The 19,033-nt window shown below is 49.1% G+C and overlaps 1 protein-coding gene across 10 annotated transcripts in view; it reads right to left on the bottom strand.

The window, feature by feature from the left end:
- Positions 1-19,033, bottom strand: part of KAZN (kazrin, periplakin interacting protein) — a 1,225,220-nt gene that overhangs the window by 19,618 nt on the left and 1,186,569 nt on the right. For all 10 annotated transcript variants that reach the window (XM_011541074.4, XM_005245795.6, XM_011541080.4 and 7 more), the window contains 2 exons: positions 4,041-4,246; positions 3,493-3,611 (listed from right to left, as the gene is read on the bottom strand). In XM_011541074.4, the coding sequence (XP_011539376.1) occupies positions 3,493-3,611; positions 4,041-4,246 (325 nt within the window). The remainder of the gene's footprint in view (positions 1-3,492; positions 3,612-4,040; positions 4,247-19,033) is intronic.

Here is a 19,033-nt window from a genome sequence, read left to right as displayed (position 1 = left end):
ATGCCCACAATTAATGTGCTCCTGCCCTTCAGAAATGTTCTCTTTTCATTAAGGGTGTCCCCATGGGGCCGCAGCTTGGCGATACGTTCCCAGCTGTTGGTTTGAGCTATTTATTGTAAGAGCCCAAGTTGAATAAAACAGCATGATTTTAAAAGGAATTCAGACATTTTATAAAATCTGTCACTGCCCCATCCCTGAACTGGAGCCGGATTAGACTCTGAAATCTGAGGACGGCACAAAATTTAGATATTGTCTGGGTCACGGCGCAGCACGGAAAACGGGAAGCTGTTCTGGTTCTATTACTTTTTAGCTCTGGGACCTTGAAACTCTGGGTCTCCGTTTTCTCCTCTGTAAAACGGGGAGAATTGCGCTTGCCTCATGGAGTTGTAGGGACTAAAAGAGAGGAGAATGCAAAACCCCTAACACAGGGTCTGGGACACACCTAGTGTTCTATAAATAGTAGTAGTAGAAGCTGTCATTGTTCTTGTTTTTAACACAAAGGCAGCATGGGACACTGGAAAGGCAACTGACTTTGAAGTCAGGTTTTTTGTAGTGTGACTTTATGCTCATGATTTCTCTGCATCTAATTTTCTCCGACTTTATTTTTCAGACGGAGTTTCATTCTTGTCGCCCGGGCTGGAGTGTAATGATGCAGTCTCGGCTCACTGCAACCTCCGCCTCCTGGGTTCAAAAAATTCTCCTGCCTCAGCCTCCTGAGTAGCTGGGATCACAGGCACACACCACCACGCCTACTAATTTTTCTATTTTTAGTAGAGACAGGGTTTCACCATGTTGGTTAGGCTGGTCTCGAACTCCTGATGTCAGGTGATCCACCTGCCTTGGCCTCCCAAAGTGCTGTGATTACAGGTGTGAGCCATCGTACCCGGCCTTCTCCATCTTTAAAATGGGAGTAAGCATGTCTATCCTGCATTGATGTTGTGAGGGTAAATAAAATGATATCCATAAGGTGATGATGGGTTGGTAAGGGGTTGGTGGGTTTTGTCATTGGTATTTTGTAGATAAGGTGACCAGTCCCAGAGAGGACGCCATCATGCCCATGGTCACACAAGATGTCATGGCTGAAAATGTTCTCGAAGATGAACTCATTTAGAGTTCTTACCCCCGAGTCCATGGAGCCCTGAAAGTGGGTGGGCCAGAGAGTCCCACCCACCAACCCAACACAGTGAAAAGTTGTGAAGTTTTGTGTATTTTTTCTAGAGAAAGTGTCAAAAGCTCTTATTAGATTCTTAAAGTGGTCATGATCCTCAAAAGTTTAAAAACCACTGTCCTAATTTAACTCCCTTCACTTCTCAGGTGGGAAACAGTCCCAGAGAGGGCAAGGTCATGTGGCAAACTGGAGACAGGCCAGATTCCCACTGGGAGTAGAAAACTCAAAATAAGTCCTCTGCCTCCTCCAGGAAGCCCTGGGGGTGTCTAAGGGTGGGGCTCCACGATCCCTGGGACCACAGACTCCTGGTTCCTGGAGGTTAACGTGGTGCCACTGTTAGGGATTAAATGTTTCCCTCTGCCATGCCCCCCACCCAATTCACATGCTGAAATCCTAACCTTCGATGTGATGGTATTTGTGGCTGGGGCCTTTGGGAGCTGATTAGATGAGGTCATAGGGGTGCCCTTCATGATGGGATTATTGTCCTTACAGGAAGAGACCAGAGACATCACTCTCTCCCCCTCCCTCTTCCTTCTTCCCCATGTGAGGACACAGCAAGAAGGTTGCCTTCTGCAAGCCAGGAAGAGAGCCCTCCCCAGGTCCCAACCATGCTGGCATCCCGATCTTGGACTTCCAGCCTCCAGAACTGTGAGACGTAAGTTGTTGTCTAAGCAACCCAGATGGTGTCATTTTGTTATGGCAGCCCAAGCAGACTAAGACAGCCCCATTTAGGGGCTGTGTTGTGCAACACACAAGTGCAGGCCATGCTGGGGGACGAGGCTGTCGGGGGCAGGGGCTGGGCAGGCCGCACCCCTGGGAGGCAGAGGACGGTGGGGACGTCCTCCCCCCATGCATTTCTTCTCTTCAAAATCAAAGTGGCTTTTAGTGTTTTTGTTTTTCTGCCCTTGCCCCCACTACAAAAGTAATCTATGAAAAGAAAAGAAGAAAAGCTTATCCCCATTTAGGGGGAACCCAGGCAGTAGCCCAGACTCCTGAAGTTTTTGAAAGATGAAGCAGTCATCCCCACCCTGTTCATTGAACACAGGCAGTGTTTATGGACCCTGCTGGGTGTGGGGTAAGGGGGCAGGAGGGATTTCCTACTTGGGTGACCAAAGATGGTGAGGGGATTCAGGGATGGCTTTAGGGGATTCCTGGATGGAACTGGTTAGGAGGTGGGTGCTGGGTGTAAGGTGTTTTTGGGACCCTCAGGAAGGAAAGCCCAGCAGGGGTTGCCCTCATGGCCCTCCTCCCCATCCCTCAGCCCAGCCCTGTCTCAGACGAGCCAGCATCCTGATGGTGCCAATGAGGCCTGGCACCTTCTTGCTCTGAGTCGCTCCCTAAGTTTCTGATCCAGTCTCACCTCAGTACTTCCTGCCACCCTAGAGTCATGCCGAGGGCCCCTCTCCTGCACACATATGGATTTGGTTTTCCTGCTTCCAAACCAGCCGATTTTCCACCCCAAACCCTGCTTCTAAAAAAATCCCCTAAGCTGCTTCTGCAAATTACAGCACACACCACCAGGTTTGATTAACTAACTACACAAAAATGATGGAGAAACCAGTGAAGGACATAATTATGCAAAACAGAAGTGTCAGATTTACAAAGCGAGTTCTTCCCCTCTCCACATTCTCAGAACGGGGTGGGGCGGGGTGGGGGTGGGGGTTCCTTCCCTTTACCCTGTAGCTGCCCCTGCTCAACAAATTTTGCTCACAGAAAGCCAGGAGAGAGGCAGGCAGGCCGGAGGCAGAGCAGGAGTGGTATGAGCGGTGGGGGTGGGTGGCCTGCGGGGGTACACCTGATGAGAAGGCCCTGCAGCCATCCCAGGTATGCTTGCTAAGAGAAGCCCCCTCCACCTGGCCCGCTCCTCTATGGGAGAGGTTTCACCAAGCCCACTCACGCCTACTTGATCTCTGCCTGCCTCGGCTCTGCCTTGCACCGTTTTTCCTCACCCTGTTATGTATGGTAAGAACCAGGAGCAGACACCATGGCGGCCCAGTGTGCAGAGCTGCTTGGGCTGGTCCCGGAAGGCAGAGGAGTGCTGGGGGGCTCGTGAGGTTCCCGCATTGGTTGGGGGTGTACTAGGGCCTTTGGGGCCTCTTGTCTTCCCCATGTGTCTGTCTTTCTACGGAGGGGGCTGGCCCAGAGCAGGGCTGGGGTATGCCCAAGCCCCCTCATCAGGGGCATCCCCGGACCATCTTAGTCACACCCTGCTGTCCCCCACCACCTGGTTCAGCCCACAGTGCCCCGCTCACCCCACCTGTGTGACCAAAGGCCTCAGGATGACTTTTTCTCTCCTCCCCCGGGGCCCCTCGTGGTGGGCTCACCTGCGGCCTGCCTCGGCATCACGGTAGTCCTCGATGGCCAGGCGCAGCTTGCGCCGGTGCAGGGAGCTGCACACCCCAAGGCCCAGCTGCAGGTCCTCGTCACTCAGGCTCAGCAGCACCTGCCCCCGGGAGGGAGTGTCATATGGGGGCTGGGACAGCTGCCGGCGGGGTTCCTGCCCTAGAGGGGGTCTGTTGACATGGGGCTCCTTCCCCATCTCCTGCCCACCTTTCATACAGTGGGGTCAGGGCACATGGAAACCTCTGCAACTCTGATGTGGGGCGGAATCCCTGTTCAGGCAGAGGGAGCCCTTTCCCTTAGGCAGGTAAAGGAAACCTGGGTCCATTGTCAGGATGAGGCAGCTGAGGGCTCTCTGCCTTGCCAGGGAGGCACAATGAGCAGGTACATCAGAGGCTGATTGCATTGGCTAGCTCCTAGATTGCACCTTCTCCTGACTCCAGGGTAGGAGTGGGGGGCAGGCCAGCTTCTGGGTACGTAAAGCTCACAGAGGGCATGGGTGGCATCCCATAGGGGGCCCGGAGTTGCCTACCTTCCCGCTCTTCACGTTCTCCGTGCAGGCCTTGACGTACATAGGCATGGCCATCACCACCTCCAGCCAGGCCTGGACGGTGCCCGCCTTCCAGTGGGACATAGGGGTGGTCCTCACCAGCTCCACCTGCTGCAGCCGGTCCATCTGCTCCTCGCCTTCCGACAGGCTGAGGCTCTGCCGCGTGGGGCTGCACTGGCTGTCCGAGTCTGCAACACACAAGTGCAGGCCATGCTGGGGGACGAGGCTGCTGGGGGCAGGGGCTGGGCAGGCCATACCCCCGGGAGGCAGAGGGTGGTGGGGACATCCTCCCCTCCATGTATTCTCTTCAAAATCAAAGTGGCTTTTGGCGTTTTTGTTTTTCTGCCCTTGCCCCCATTACAAAAGTAATCTATGAAAAGAAAAGAAGAAAAGCTTATCCCAGAAAAAAATAAAACAGTAAATGAAGATCACCCCACGTGACTGTGAAAGGCAAATAAATCTTGGGACCCCAAACTCATTAAGCCAAAGGGAAAAGTCAAGCCGGGAACTGGGTCACACAAACCTGCCTCCCCGTTTTGATTCCTAAATAAGATGAACTGCTACACACCTCCCTCATATTTTGCCCACAAGGAAATTCCTGGCGAGCTTGGAGATATTTACCCTAAAGCATTTCTGTTAAAATTCACCATGGCAATGTAAATGGATAGCTTATCTTTACACAGTATTCACCCCTCTGCTCACCTGGCACAAATGCATATCTGATTGTTCCCCTGCCTCATTTATCTTTATCTTATGTAAAAATGTCGATTTCCTGCATGTTCCCCATCTGTCTATGTTACCTTATGTAAAAATGCAGATTCACTGGGCCAGACAAAGGCACGAATGATTATTTTCCCCCGCCCCCCTCTTACATGAAACTGTGTGCTTCTCAATATCCTTTCGCCTTTAAATCTGGAGGCCTCAAAATCATCTTCGGAGAAAGGCACAGACCTGTCTCCTGGGCGCGCGTCCTTAACTTTGACAAATACACCTCCTAAAATGACTGAGACCTGTCTCATCATTCTTCTAGATCGACACCACCTAGAGACAGCAGCTGTTAAATACTCTTTTCTGGATACAGAAAAGCCACACTTACAAACACACACAGACCCGCTTGCTTACGGGGTGCGTGCATTTGAGGTGTGTGCATTTGTGATATGCCTGTTCACTTTCGCTGTGGAGGAGACTGTTCCATCTCCACAGAGACCTGCGGTACCTTTTGACTGCGCGGGATTCATCAGAAGGAGGCTCCGTAATTTATTTCACCTCCTACTGATGGGCATGGCGGTTGTTTCCAATTTTTCACTATTGTAAACAACACAGCGGCAGTCGTCTTTGGGCAACTGGGTGATTTATTTTCGTAGGATAAATGGAACCCAGCTCCATTCCTTAATACACTGAAAGCTGTTTCTGGAATGGCCCTCACAGACCAAAAAAAAAAAAAAGTTCATCCACCAACATTTTCTAACCCCACTCTTCTATATATGGTTCGTTGCATCAAGGCCTGGTAAATATGAAAAGTTCAGGTTACAGAGACTCAATTGAGAGGGGAAAAGAATCTCTCTAAAAGAGGGTTCGATAAAAACCTAAACAGGCCGGGCGTGGTAGCTCACGCCTATAATCTCAGCACTTTGGGAGGACAAGGTGGGCAGAATGCTTGAGCTTCAGGAGTTTGAGATCAGCCTGGGCAACATGGTGAAACCCCATCTCTACCAAAAATACAAAAAAATTAGCTGGACGTGGTGGCGTGTGCCTGGGGTCCCAGCTGCTCAGGAGGCTGAGGTAGGAGGATCTTTTCAGCCAGGGAGGCGGAGGTTATAGTGAGCCAAGATCATACCACTGTACTCCAGCCTGGGTGACAGACTGAGACCCCAACTCAAAACAGAACAAAACAAAACAAAACAAAACAAAACAAATAAAAACACACACACACACCCAAACAGACAAACTCAATACCATGAGAAACAACAAGTATTTAAATATAACTCTGACTGGCTGGGCACAGTGGCTCATGCCTGTAATCCCAGCACTTTGGGAGGCCGAGGTAGGTGGATCACCTGAGGCCGGGAGTTCAAGACCAGCCTGACCAACATGGAGAAACCCCGTCTCTACTAAAAATACAAAATTAGCCTGGGTGGTGGCATATGCCTGTAATCCCAGCTACTCGGGAGGCTGAGGCAGGAGAATCGCTTGAACCCAGGAGGCGGAGGTTGAGGTGAGCCGAGATTGCGCCATTGCACTCCAGCCTGGCCAACAAGAGTGAAACTCCGTCTCCAAAAAAAAAAAAAAAAAAATCAAAAAAAAAAACAAAAAAACAAAACCTCTGATTAGAAATGACCCTGCTGAAATTCAATATTATAAATCATTACAAGAATGTAAAAAAAAAATGCTTATCCATCCATAGAGACAGGACACAACATTAAAACAATAGGTGATAAGTCTACACAAATGTTCATAGTTACTGCCTTTCTGTGCTGGGGAGAATATGGTTATTTTCTTTTTGTTGTATGTCTCTGTATTTTCAAAGTTCCCTAGTAAACATGTATAGTTTTGTAATAAAAACTTTGGAAAAATTAAATACTAGGAAGCAATATGAATGGTTATTGATGAGAGTTTGTTTGAAGGAATGACGCTCCATTCATATGTTGGAATATGTGCAATGAATAAAAAGTCCTGTCACGGGAAAACATCCACCACCTACTGCCAAATGAAAAAGGAAAACACGGCCGGGTGCGGTGGCTCACGCCTGTAATCCCAGCACTTTGGGAGGCAGGTAGATCACGAGGTCAGAAGATCGAGACCGTCCTGGCTAACACGGTGAAATCCCATCTCTACTAAAATTACAAAAAATTATCCCGGCGTGGGCGTGGTAGCACACGCCTGTAGTCCCAGCTACTCCAGAGGCTGAGGCAGGAGAATCACTTGAACCTGGGAGGCAGAGGTTGCAGTAAGTCGAGATTGTGCCACTGCACTCCAGTCTGGGCGACAGAACAAGACTCCATTGCAAAAACAAAAAACAAAAAACAACAAAACACAGCAGGCACAGTGTAACCCTGACTGTGGTTTAAAAATTATATGTAGATGTAAAGTGTATAATTATTATATACACGTGTGTGTATACAATATACTAGGTGGAGAAAATCTAGTATATAAAAATATGTAAAGTACTAGATGGATCAACATGAAAAGTCTGTCTCTGGAAAAGAAGTGATAGGTAATTGTGCGAGTGTGTGTGTGAATGTGCCCGTGTGAGTGTGAGAGTATTTGTGACTGTGCATACTTTTCTGTCTCCCAAGTTTTCTGCATTGACTATAGTATGTTTGATATGTAGAAAAAAGCCTAGAAATCTCACTTTTTCAAGTTACAAACCCCCTCCCCACAAGGCCTTCCCTCTCTCCATTTTAAACTCCTTGAGGGACTCTTTGAAAAGGACTGTATCCACCTGGTGACCACACACTCATCCATCATCCCCATCTCCACCAAAACCTGTCTCCCAAACACCTTGTGCCTCAGTTTCCTCCTCTGTAAAGCTAACCCGGTACCATTCTCTGCTGCCTGCCTCCTCTGTGGGCTGCCGTGAGGACTCAGCGGGGGTGAGTGTGACGGGCTGTCCGTGCTGGGACAAGTATGGGTTGAGAGGTCACTGCCAACATTATCACGTTTCCCTTCTCAGTGAGCCTAAGCCCTTTGTTTTTCCCAAGGAAATGGCAGAGGTTGCAGAGAGCTCTGTGCAGGTCACCCGTCTGAGTGGCCTCCTGTTGCCATGGTGCCAGGAATGCGGAAACGGCAGCAGCTGCCTCTGCAGCCCCGCCAGGGCCCCACCTTCCTGCCAGGTGACAGGGCTGTCAGGCCGGGGTGCAGGCCGGCAGCCAGTGCTGGTGCCCGGCTCCCACGGACCGGCATGGCTTGCAGGGAAGTCTTTTGGATCAGGCACAGGACTCCAAATTCTATAGGGATTGGAACAGGCACTGAAACACGGCATCCTTCCTGGATGGGAAAGAGCTGAGAGCCCCCGGGAGGCCTCCAGCCTGGCTGGCTTCACTCTGTTTTATTCTGCTAGCTGAGTCTCACCTCTGTTATGTGCTTCTGGGAAGAGGAGAGGTGATATGTGGCCAAATCTGGTTACCCAAAGTTCCAAGACACGGCCCCTGTCATCCATTTGGACCAGGCTTTGGAGTTGAACAGACCTCAGCATCAGGCAGATTCCTTGAAGCCTCCGTTTCTCCATATATAAAATGGGAATAATGAGAATATCTGCCTCGTAGCTTGAAATGAATGTTATAAACTCTGAATGCGAAGCTATGGGGGTGTGAAAGTTGCAGATACCAGGATGAAATCACTTTTGTCAGAACCAGAAGAATTAGAGCCGGGAAATCACGAAGGAGGGGAACTCATGCTTGCATGTTTGAGATAAGGACTGTCTCAAGGACTTTCTAAAATAGCCCCCAAGAAATTCCTTCTTCAGGACTGCAGCAATTCAGGTAAGATGTTCTCCAAAGAACACTGCCCAGTAACGTCATCTCCACCAATGAACTGATGCCAACTCTAGCTTTGAGCCTCTGCAGCCAATGAAGTCTGTTTCCAAGCAGCTTATGTGAACTTCTCTTTTTTTTTTTTTTTTTTTTTTTTTTTTTTGCCAATAAAAGCTTCCCTTTGCTGTCCCCTCTCCAGACGCACCTATGGCTTGCCACAGCTATACTTCCAGAGACTAATCCATTTATGCTTACTCCCAAATACATTCATCATATAGGAGATATTTTTTTCTGATGTCTGTTTTTTCAGGCTGACAGTAGGCACTTAGTCAAGGCTGGCTATTGTTGGCAATAAGGGGCCCCTCTCCTGGGGCTTGGGCACTGTTTGGCCACACCTAGAGTTTAGCTGCAGCCACTTCCTTCCCACTACATTCCTGGCTACAGCTTTGGTGCCTTCAGAGGGAACAAGTCCTCCTGGTTGTCCAGCCTGGCAGGGCAGAAATTCACTGTCCCTGCTGGACTCTTGCCTGGTCAAGGTGGGAGGGGTGGGGCTCTCAGTGAGGTGAGGGTGGATCTGTCCGTTCTGTGCCCAGGTGGGTGGGTGGGGGGTGTCTGCAGCCCTTGGCTATGTCTCCCCAAGAAAGGGAGCTAAAGGAGCATGGGAAGGAGAGAAAGGAGATGGGAGCAGAAGTTGGCTGCTGCTCCTGAGTCCCCCAGAAGAGGGGAAGGTTCAAAGAAGAGGGTTTGGGGAGAGAAAGGGTGTCCAGATGCAATAAAGATGCGAAAGTAAATTGAAAGGAGGAGAGGGAGAGAGGGAGTCGAGGTCAGAGAGGGGATAACAGATACGTGGACAAACAGAAAAGGCAAACGTCTGGTGTGCAATGTGAGCGTGTGTGTGCGTGTGCCTGTGTGTCTTTGTGAGTGTGTGTGGGTTATTTATTTTCTGTAGTGAGCAGGCCTCAGGGCTGTGAGGGGAGCTGGCTTTACAGCTCGCATTATTTATGGAGTCCAGGCCCTAGGAATGCCAGAGGCCAGGCTGGGTTCATGTGCGCAAACCACACATTTTGGTTTCTGCAAGACAGCTATTCACCGCCCCTATTCACCACCGCCTCCTTCTCCCCCACCCCTGAGGACTGAGCACCAACGAGACGACGTGACAGAAGGGCTTGGGAGGAGTCTAGGGGGGCCTTGGGGTCATAAACCATTAATTAAAGGCAGTTTCCAAAATGCAGGCATTATGGGGCCAGATTTTATGTCCGGATTCCATCAATCCTGGCTTTTATTTCCCTCCTTCTCAGTCTTGAGAGAGGGAATAACTCATGTTGATGGCCAGGCTGCTCAGCGGAGGGGCTGCCGAGTCGCGGGTGCTGGCTGAGTCCCTGGTGGAGTCTGAGAAGCTACCACTAAAAGGCAGTCACTCGGGATCCTTCCAGAAACTAGAAAGACTGTGGACTTTGGAACGAGAGGCTGTGCATCCTTCCACCCACCCCAACACATATGCACGCATGCACACCCCCCCACCCACAGAATGTTAGTACTACTGAGTGTGACCATTGACGTCTCCCCTAAATGAGGCCTTACAGAGGCAATTGTGTTGGCCCAGCATAGAGGTCAGCAGACTACGGCCTCCCAGGCCGAATCCAGCCCTCCCTCCTATTTTTCTAAATAAAGTTTTTATTAGATCACAGCCATGCCCATTTGTTTATTTATTGTCTAAAGCTGCTTTCATGCTACAATGGCAGAGTTGAGACGTTGAGACAGGCCCACAAAGCCTAAAGCTTAAAGCCCACAAAGTTTTTTGGCCCGGTGCAAAAGACCACATAGAGAAACGCCTGGCCTAGACGTTCAGAGGCTGGCACTGGAATATGGGAGCCCTGGGTTTGAATCCCAGCTCCGTGGCTTATCAACCAAAAGATCTCACGGAAGCGTTTTACATTTTCTCAACCTCGGTTTTCCCCTCTGTAAAACGGGGATGATAGGAACGCTTAATCTCACAGGATGGTGTGAGGATGAAATGAAATGATGTGTGCAAAGTGTTCAGCCTTGTGTCTGACATAGAGTGGATACTCAGTGACGGAGTGGAGGCCTCTGTCCCCTGCGGGCCCATGTCACTTACTGTCCAGACTGCTCTGTCCAGTACAGCAGCTACAAGCCACATGTGCCTACAGAACATGTAATGTGGCTAGCTCACATTGAGAAGTGCCTTAAGGGCTGGGTGTGGTGGCTCATGCCTGTAATCCCAGCACTTTGGGACACCGAGGTGGGTGGATCACCTGAGGTCAAGACCACCCTGGCCGACATGGTGAAACCCCGTCTCTACTAAAAATACAAAAAAATTAGCTGGGCATGGTGGTGCATGCCTGTAGTCCCAGATACTCGGGAGGCCGAGGCAGGAGAATTGCTTGAACCCAGGAGGCGGGGGTTGCAGTGAGCTGAGATCACGCCACTACACTCCTGCCTGGGCGAAAGAGTAAGACCCTGTCAAAAAAAAAAAAAGAAAAAAGTGCTTTAAGCATAAAACACATACTGGAGTTTGAAGACGGTAGAAAAAAAAAAGAATGTAAATTATTTCATAATCATTTAAAAATTGATAACATATTGATCATATTTTGGGTATACCAGTTAAATAAAATATATTATTAAAAGTCATGTCACCTGTTCCTTTTTACTTCAAATGTGGCTAATAGAAGGTATAAAGTTACACATGTGGCTTGCATTAGTTTCTACTGGACAGAGCTGGTCTGGATGGAAGATTATTTTTTTCTTTGGTTTGTTTTCTCATTCCATTTCCCCGCCACCCTCCGTTGGTTTGGAAGTTAAGCTTTCTCTGCTTCTGATTTTAGTATAGTAGTTGTAGTTCTCAAAGTGTGGTCCCTGGACTAGTAGCATCAGCAGCATCTGGGAATTTGGTAGAAATGAAAATTCTAGAACTGTACCCCAGATCTCCTGGAACAGAAACTCTGGGGGTGGAGCCCAGTGGTCTGCTTCATAACCCACCAGATAATTCTGAGGTATTCTCAAGTTCTAGAACCACGGCCTTAATGATTACCCTTGAAAAGTCACTATACCTATTTACCTTAATAAAACCTAGGGTTGTTCAATATCCTAATGCCATCCTAAATAGTAAGAATTATTTAAAATATATTAATTCTGCTCACTCCTCCTGACTTCCATGCTACCACATCCAGGATTTTAATTCTATCCTCTTTTGAAACCCCATAATTTAGACATTGTCACGATGATTATTTTATACTGATAACGTTTGCTTAAAATAATTGACTTACATGTTTACCAATTTCTTTGTTCATCATGTCTTCTTGTACCTCAGACCTTCCTTCTGGAATAACTTTTCTTATTCCTGAAGAACATGGTTTAAAAGATTTTTCGATTACAAGTGTTTTGGTAGTTAGCTGTTACAACTTTTGCCTATCTGAAGAAAGTCTGTTTTACCCTTGTGCTTCAAAGGGTTTTGCTGGGAACACGGTTTTAGGTTGAGAGTTTGCCTTTTGTTTTAGCGCTTTGACGATGTTGTTTCATGATCGTGGGTCTTCATTTCTGCTATAGAGAAGTCCACTGCAAGCCGAATTGTTCTTTCATTAGCTACTTTTAAAATTTTCTCTTTGTCAGCCAGGCATGGTGGCTCATGCCTGTAATCCCAGCACTTTGGGAGGCCGAGGCAGGTGGATTACCTGATTTCAGGAGTTCGAGACCACCCTGGCCAACATGGTGAAACCCCGTCTCTACTAAAAATACCAAAATTAGCCGGGCGTGGTCGGGGGCGCCTGTAATCCCAGCTACTTGGGAGGCTGAGGCAGGAGAATCGCTTGAACCCAGGAGGCAGAGGTTGCAGTGAGCCGAGATCGCACCACTGCACTCCAGCCTGGGCAACAGAGCAAAACTCTGTCTCAAAAAAATTTTTTCTTTTTGTCCTTGGTGTTCTGAAGTTTCATTGCAATGTGGCTAGATGTGGATATTTCAAATTTATTCTGAATGATATAATTGTGCTTCCTGTATCTCTGGACTCCTTTTTTTGAATATTCTGAACCATTATCTCTTACAATATTACCTCTTTTCCATTCTCTCGGTTCTCTCCTTCTGGGATTCCAGTTAGATATAAGTTGGACTTTCTAATTCTATTTTTTCCTATCTTGTGACCTAGTGCTGTCCAACAGAACTTTCTGTGTTGATGAAAATCTGCTATAACCTTCACTGACCAATAGGATAGCCATTAACCACAAGTGGTTATGAGCTAATAAATGTGGCTAGTGGGTGGTGCGTGGTGGCTCACGCCTGTAATCCCAGCACTTTGGGAGGCTAAGGCGGGAGGCTTGCTTGAGCCTAGGAGTTCGAGACCAGCCTGGGCAACATGGCGAAACCCCATCTCTACCAAAAATACAAAAATTAGCTGGGCGTGGTGGCAGATGCCTGTAATCCCAGCTACTCAGGAGGCTGAGGCAGGAGAATCGCTTGTACCTGGGAGGTGGAGGTTGCAGTGAGCCGAGATTGTGCCACTGCACTCTAGCCTGGGTGACAGAGTGAAACTCCATCTCAAAAAAAACAAAATAATAATGGCAGAGGTAAAATGTGGCTGATACAACTAAAGACCTGAGTTTTAGTTGTATTTAATTTTAATTAATTCAAATATAAATCTAAGAACATGTGGGCTAGTGGCTAGTGTATTCGATACAGCAATTTCTCCTTTAGTTTTCATCTCATCTCTGTGCGTTGCATTCTTGGTAATTTCCTTAGGTCTTTTTTTCCATTTTTAAAATTATCTCTTCACCTATTTAGTCTGCTGTTTAACCCACCCTTTTATTCATTTTTAATGTTATCAGCTATATTTTTTTCATTTCTAAAACGTTTTATCTGTTTTCTCTTTCAAGTTTTCCTGGTCTTGTGAGACAGTTTCCTGTTGTTTGCTCATGTCTGTGATTTCATCTGACATTTCCTTAAGTATTTTATGCATAGTATTTAGTATTTTGTATTTGGTATTGATAATTACTAAACCTGAAAAGGCCTTAGAGGGTCTAAATTTGCTATTTGTTTTTGCTGACTTTCACTCATGCTGAACACATATTTGATCTTAATTTGCGGGAATCTTTGGGTCTAAATAGCAGATGCCTTTCTCCAGAGAGGATTTACATTAACTTCTACTGGGGTGGGGAAGAGAAGAGGAGTGGGGATGAGACCTGGGTCCAGGGGCCACTTCATGCCCCTTTGAGAGACTCTGGTTGAATGACAGCATCTCTGGCTCTGTTCTTCCACTTTGCTATATCCCAAAATTTAACCCCCTGATAACAGTCCTGATAGCAGCATTTGCCTCCAGGACAACCTCAGCTTTTGCCTTTGGTGATCACTCACTGCTCCTGTTCTGGTGTTAGCTTACAGCTTTTGTTTTTTGTCTGTAGACGTCTTGGGGATTTCCCTTATTTTCTGTGAGACCAGGAATGCATTAAAAAGTATGTTTCATTCCAGATTTATTGGTTTTGTAGAGGGAGGCCCTTCCGAATATGTCTTCCCCCACGCTGCCCTGAGTGGCCGTCCCTCTGGCTGTGTGCACTGTCCACCCAGCACACTGCTTCCTGCTGGCACTGCTGTGCATGGCCTGTCCATCTGCCCTGCCACAAAGTGATTGCCGAGGTCATCAGCCAAGTCTTTCCATATTTGTATTACCAGGGCCTGGTATATGGAGATGTCCAATGTCATCAGTGATGGGAAAAGTCCAGGTTATGGGAAATACCATTTCCTTTGCCTTTCCCCCCAGCTCAGCCCTTCCCTGTTCTACTTGTTTTGACAGCCAAGGAAGATGATACCATTATTCACTTGGATATTCCTTTGGGAAGCCTCAGTTTCTCTTGCCTTCCCCCAGGAATAAAGGGGCAAAGGGCACATTTCAGATGGGAAGTGAAGGCTCAGAGGGGTCCCCCGATGTTTCCAGCAGGCTAGTGTGGGAGCTCTGCTTCAACCCTGAATTCCCCGCCTCCCAGTGTAGAAGAACCTATGTGAGCAGCCCTCTCGCCTGTTCTTGAACGCCTGTGCTTGGTTACATAACATTGGCAAGGATTGCTCAAACTGGCAAGAGGCAGGATGGTGTGTGGGGTGTGGGAAGATACTCTCACAGGCTGGGAAATGGCTCCTGGCCCTGCCTGCCAGGCTGGGGAACTTGAAGCCAGCCATGACTCAGAGTGAGAGACAGACACAGAGAGAGACAGAGAGACAGGCCTAAGCACCGAGACAGACTTGATGGGATCCAAAGGCCTGTGATCGGGAAAGACAGGCCGATGTTCACATGGGTGTTGCCACTGAACTTGGGGCTCTGCGTGTCTGTCCATCCTTTGGACTGCTCTACCAAACCGTACAGTGCCTGCATATTCATTCTATGACCAGAGACACTCATGCCTAATGCTTACTAAGCTACCGGGGACAGGTGGCATGGAAAGGCGGGATGGAAGGATGGTAGACTTTGGCGGGGGTGAGCCCTGGGCTGGAGTGACACAGGCAGCCTGGAGCCAGAGGTGATGGCCGGACAGGCCCAGTGCACCATTCACCAGTGTCTGGGAGAAGCTTTGAGAAGGTTTTGCTATGTACTACTTTCCACCATTTTTGCCCTGAAACAGTCCCCCCTCCACCTAGCCTGAGGTTGACATTTGCAACTAAAAGGGGCTGCACAGGCTTGAGTCCACATGCCTGTCTAGGAGCCATCCAGAGCAAGGAAAGGTGCCTACCTCCGAAGAGTTTGGAGCACCCTGGTACTTGCTGCTCAAATGGCATCATGAATGGGGTCACCTGGGCCTCCCACCCAGTGGGATTCAGAATTCTAGGGCTAAATGGTGCCCTCAAGGTCACGTGGTCCATCCCACAGTCTTGCAGTAGGGCTGGGACTTAGAGGAGGGAGACTGCTCCTAGAGTGGTCTTTAGATCAGGGATGTCAGCTACCAGGGAGGTGGTTAAAAATGCAGAGGTAGGTCAATTGAAGTCAGGAGTTCGAGACCAGCCTAGCCAACATGAAACCCTGTCTCTCCTAAAAATACAAAAATTAGCCAGGTATGGTGGCACGCACCTGTAATCCCAGCTACTTGAGAGGCTGAGGCATGAGAATCGCTTGAACCTGGGAGGTGGAAGTTGCAGTGAGTCGAGATCATGCCACTGCACTCTAGCCTGAGCGACAGAGCGAGACTCCGTCTCAAACAAAACAAAACAAACAAAAACAAACTGCAGAGGCTTAGAGGTAAAGGCCTTGTAAATTCTCCTATGCCCACCCTGCATGGCGAGTGAGAGGGAGGTGGAATTCTTCATCCTGGTCCCGCATGTCCCTGACCTCAGAGTGCCATTGGCAGACACCCTTGGCAGCAGCTATGGGAAAGACTTAGTGCTCTAGCATTTTAATTAATTTTTTTTCTTCTTTTACTATTTAAAATTTTGAGTCTATACCCAGCCTGTGGCTGAGTGACCCATGCCCTGGGCTTCTGAGCCTCTTTTGATGTCTGCAGCATCAAGCACATTGGCACCTCCCTGGCATCTGCATCCCTGGGGTCAAATGTGTGCCTGGATGCAGAGCTCCCTGGAGCCTGATAGAAAAGCTTTAGTTGTAAATGTGTCTTGTGTGTCTGAGTTGGAGGTGGCGCAGGGAACCAGGCTTCCCTGGAGGTCAAGTGAGGTGGCTGAATGTGTCCCTGCACCTGGCTGGGCCTGTTGCTGCCCCATAGGGTCTCAGACCTCAGATAGGGGGGCTGAGCACTTGGACCTCGGCTGCCACTGAGGCAGAGTTGAGGCAGTGAGCTTGGTGAGGGCAGGCTAAGGTTGCAACGTCCCCTGCTGAATTCCATCACTCCTGAGTCTCCATCACCTGTCCCCTGTCTCAGTTGGCTCCACCATCTCCTATCTGGAGCACTCCAGCTGTATCTCAACACCCTACCTCCCTCTTTCTCTTTCATTCCATCCTCTTCAAGCCCAGAGGAAATTTTTTTAAAAAATGGTATCTTCCCAGGGACCTCTTCTGCTCATCATCCTTCAATGGCTCCCTGGTAAAGCCCAAGGTCCTTGCTGTGACCCACAGGCCGACCTTGCCAGCTTCATCCTTAGCTTCTCACCCCTGCCCTTGGCACCCTGGGCTTCCTGCATTTCCCCGATGCCCCTAATTCCCCCTCTCCAATCCCTGCACCTGCCGTTCCCTTGGCCTGAACAGCGGCCTGTCACTTTCCTCTGCCTGGTGAAGCTTACACAGGCTCAGGGCTCTGTTTCAATACTGATTATTTCAGGGACTCCTTTCCTGGTCACCTAGTGTGGGTACCCTACAACTCCCCAACACACACACTCACACACACACACACACACGCTGTCATTAATTCCTGGAACCTTTCCTGCATGACATCTCTCACAGCTGAAACGAACAGTTGTGTAATTATTCGATGAAAGTCTGTGTCTCCCACCAGACCATAAACTGCACATGAGCAGGCGCTGGGCCTGGTTTTGCTCCCTAGACATCTCTAGTCCCTAGCAAGGGCCCAACCACGTTTAACAACCGGCTCTTATATTTTCCAGAGGTACACTGGTTTTAGCATTTGCTTGCCAATTTCTGTGGTGTAAATACTCCTATTGTGGCCAATTTCAGTGACCGGCAGGCTGTCACTGGACGTGGAGTTGGGAAGAGAGCCATCCGTGGGCCTGTGTGAGCCAGCCCTGGCCCAGCACTGCCTGCAATTGAATGAGCCCTCTAAGTATTGAGTAAAAGAAGGCAGGAAGGGAGGAACGGAGGGAGGGAGGGAGCAGGCCTTCCTCTGTGGTCTCATCTTCTGCCAACCCCGCCTCGTCCACGCCTCTTCCAGCCACAGCAGGGTCACCTGTGGCCCCTCTTATGCAGTAGATGCTACCATTCTCTTGTCCCTCTGCCTACGGCAAGGCCTCTGAACTTTGGCACTCGGCATTTGGGGCCAGATTTCTTTGTCATGGGGCTGTCCCGTGCATCGTAGGACATGTAGCAGCATCCCTGGCCTCCAACCACAAGCTGCTGGGGAGCACCGAGTGTAGCTGCTCCCAGCGTCCCCAGCATGCCCTAAGGCACAGGGAGGGTCCTACTCCCTTCTACCCCGGGGCCTCTGTTCTCAGCCCAGCCCAGCTCTGTTCAGGCAGCCAACTACTGTCAACACTCCCTGCCCTTGGGAAGTGGCAGGGGAGCCTCCATCAGCACATGTAGCTCCAAAAGCTGAATTCTCATTTTTTAAACACTTCATGATAATGTGAAAAAACAACTTTTTATGGCCCGATCATGGCTGCCCTGTTGGATGTAGATGCTTTGCTGATCCCTCAGTCACAAGCCCCATGAAATACTTATGAAATGTGTGAAAGGCTTCTGTGGTAGCCCACAGGACCAGGGACAGCGTGGGTGTGAAGAGCATCAGGAGGAGAGCCTATCAGTCACTCACCACTGTGGCTGCTGGGGGCTGATGGCAGGACCCTTGGTGGGCAGCGAGGTGGCAGGGGCCCTGCCACCAACCTGCACCACCCCTGACCCCAGGGCCAGGCTCACCCTTGGGAGGCCCTGGGCTAAAACAGTGGTGGTACCTCCCACCCCAACGTGTCCCTATTTACGACATCATAAAGTAAATAGAAAAGTCCAGCAGAGTGCTGCTTTTACCAACAATAACTGCTTTATACTTTTAAAAAATCACATGGGCGCCCCCTCATTTTGGTGCCACCGTCTTGCAAAGGCCTAGACTTGTGCTTTTTCCCATGACCAGCCACCCTTCTCCCAACCTCGGAGGACATCCTCCTCCTTCAGTCCCTCCTGCCACACTCTGAAAATTTTCCAAAGGGCCAGGGAATTGAGATCCTGGGGTTGGCCAGGGTCCCCACTGCTCTGCACTCAGTTCCTAGGCAGGTACTTGACAAGTATTCTCTAAGTTTATGCACTTAGGAGGAAGCTGCTAAGAGGTCCAGGGAAGACAAACACATAGTTATCCAATGACAATGACTTTATGCTTTTACATATATATCTATACATCAAAAGCTTTCCTCTTTCTTCCTTGCTAACCTGTTCCACTGCTGCAGCAGCACCCACATTTGGGAAGTCCTTCTTATAGTCTCAATTGCAAGTGCAGCCGAAGCCCATCTTTCTCCAGCTGCTGGCCTCCTTGGGCAAGTCCCACACTGACTCCTCTTTTCTGACATGTTTTCCCGGCAGGCTTCTCTGCCAGTGGGCAGCCCTGAAAGGTGGATCCCATGAGAAGTGAGGGGGGGATCTTGACACAGGTGGCCAGGGCAAGAAGACCATCCTTCTCCACGCACCCATGCAGAGGCCGGGCACGTGTGCATCTGTACAGCTCTTGGAGGCAAAGCTGGGGGCGATGGATGGCTGTGGGTTTCAGGAAATCAGCTGTGCCCCAACCCCACTTTCACATTGTTTAGTAAAATATCTGAAATTATGTTGGGTTTCACTAAAAAAAAAAATAAGCCAACAGTATTGAATTGTGACAAAAGGTCCTTCATCTTGTGTCCACAATTTAA

This window comes from Homo sapiens, chromosome 1 (genome assembly GCF_000001405.40).
Source record: "Homo sapiens chromosome 1, GRCh38.p14 Primary Assembly".
Taxonomy (NCBI): domain Eukaryota; kingdom Metazoa; phylum Chordata; class Mammalia; order Primates; family Hominidae; genus Homo; species Homo sapiens.
The sequence above is the reverse complement of the archived record's forward strand: the minus strand, read 5'-3'. Positions and strand labels throughout refer to the sequence as shown.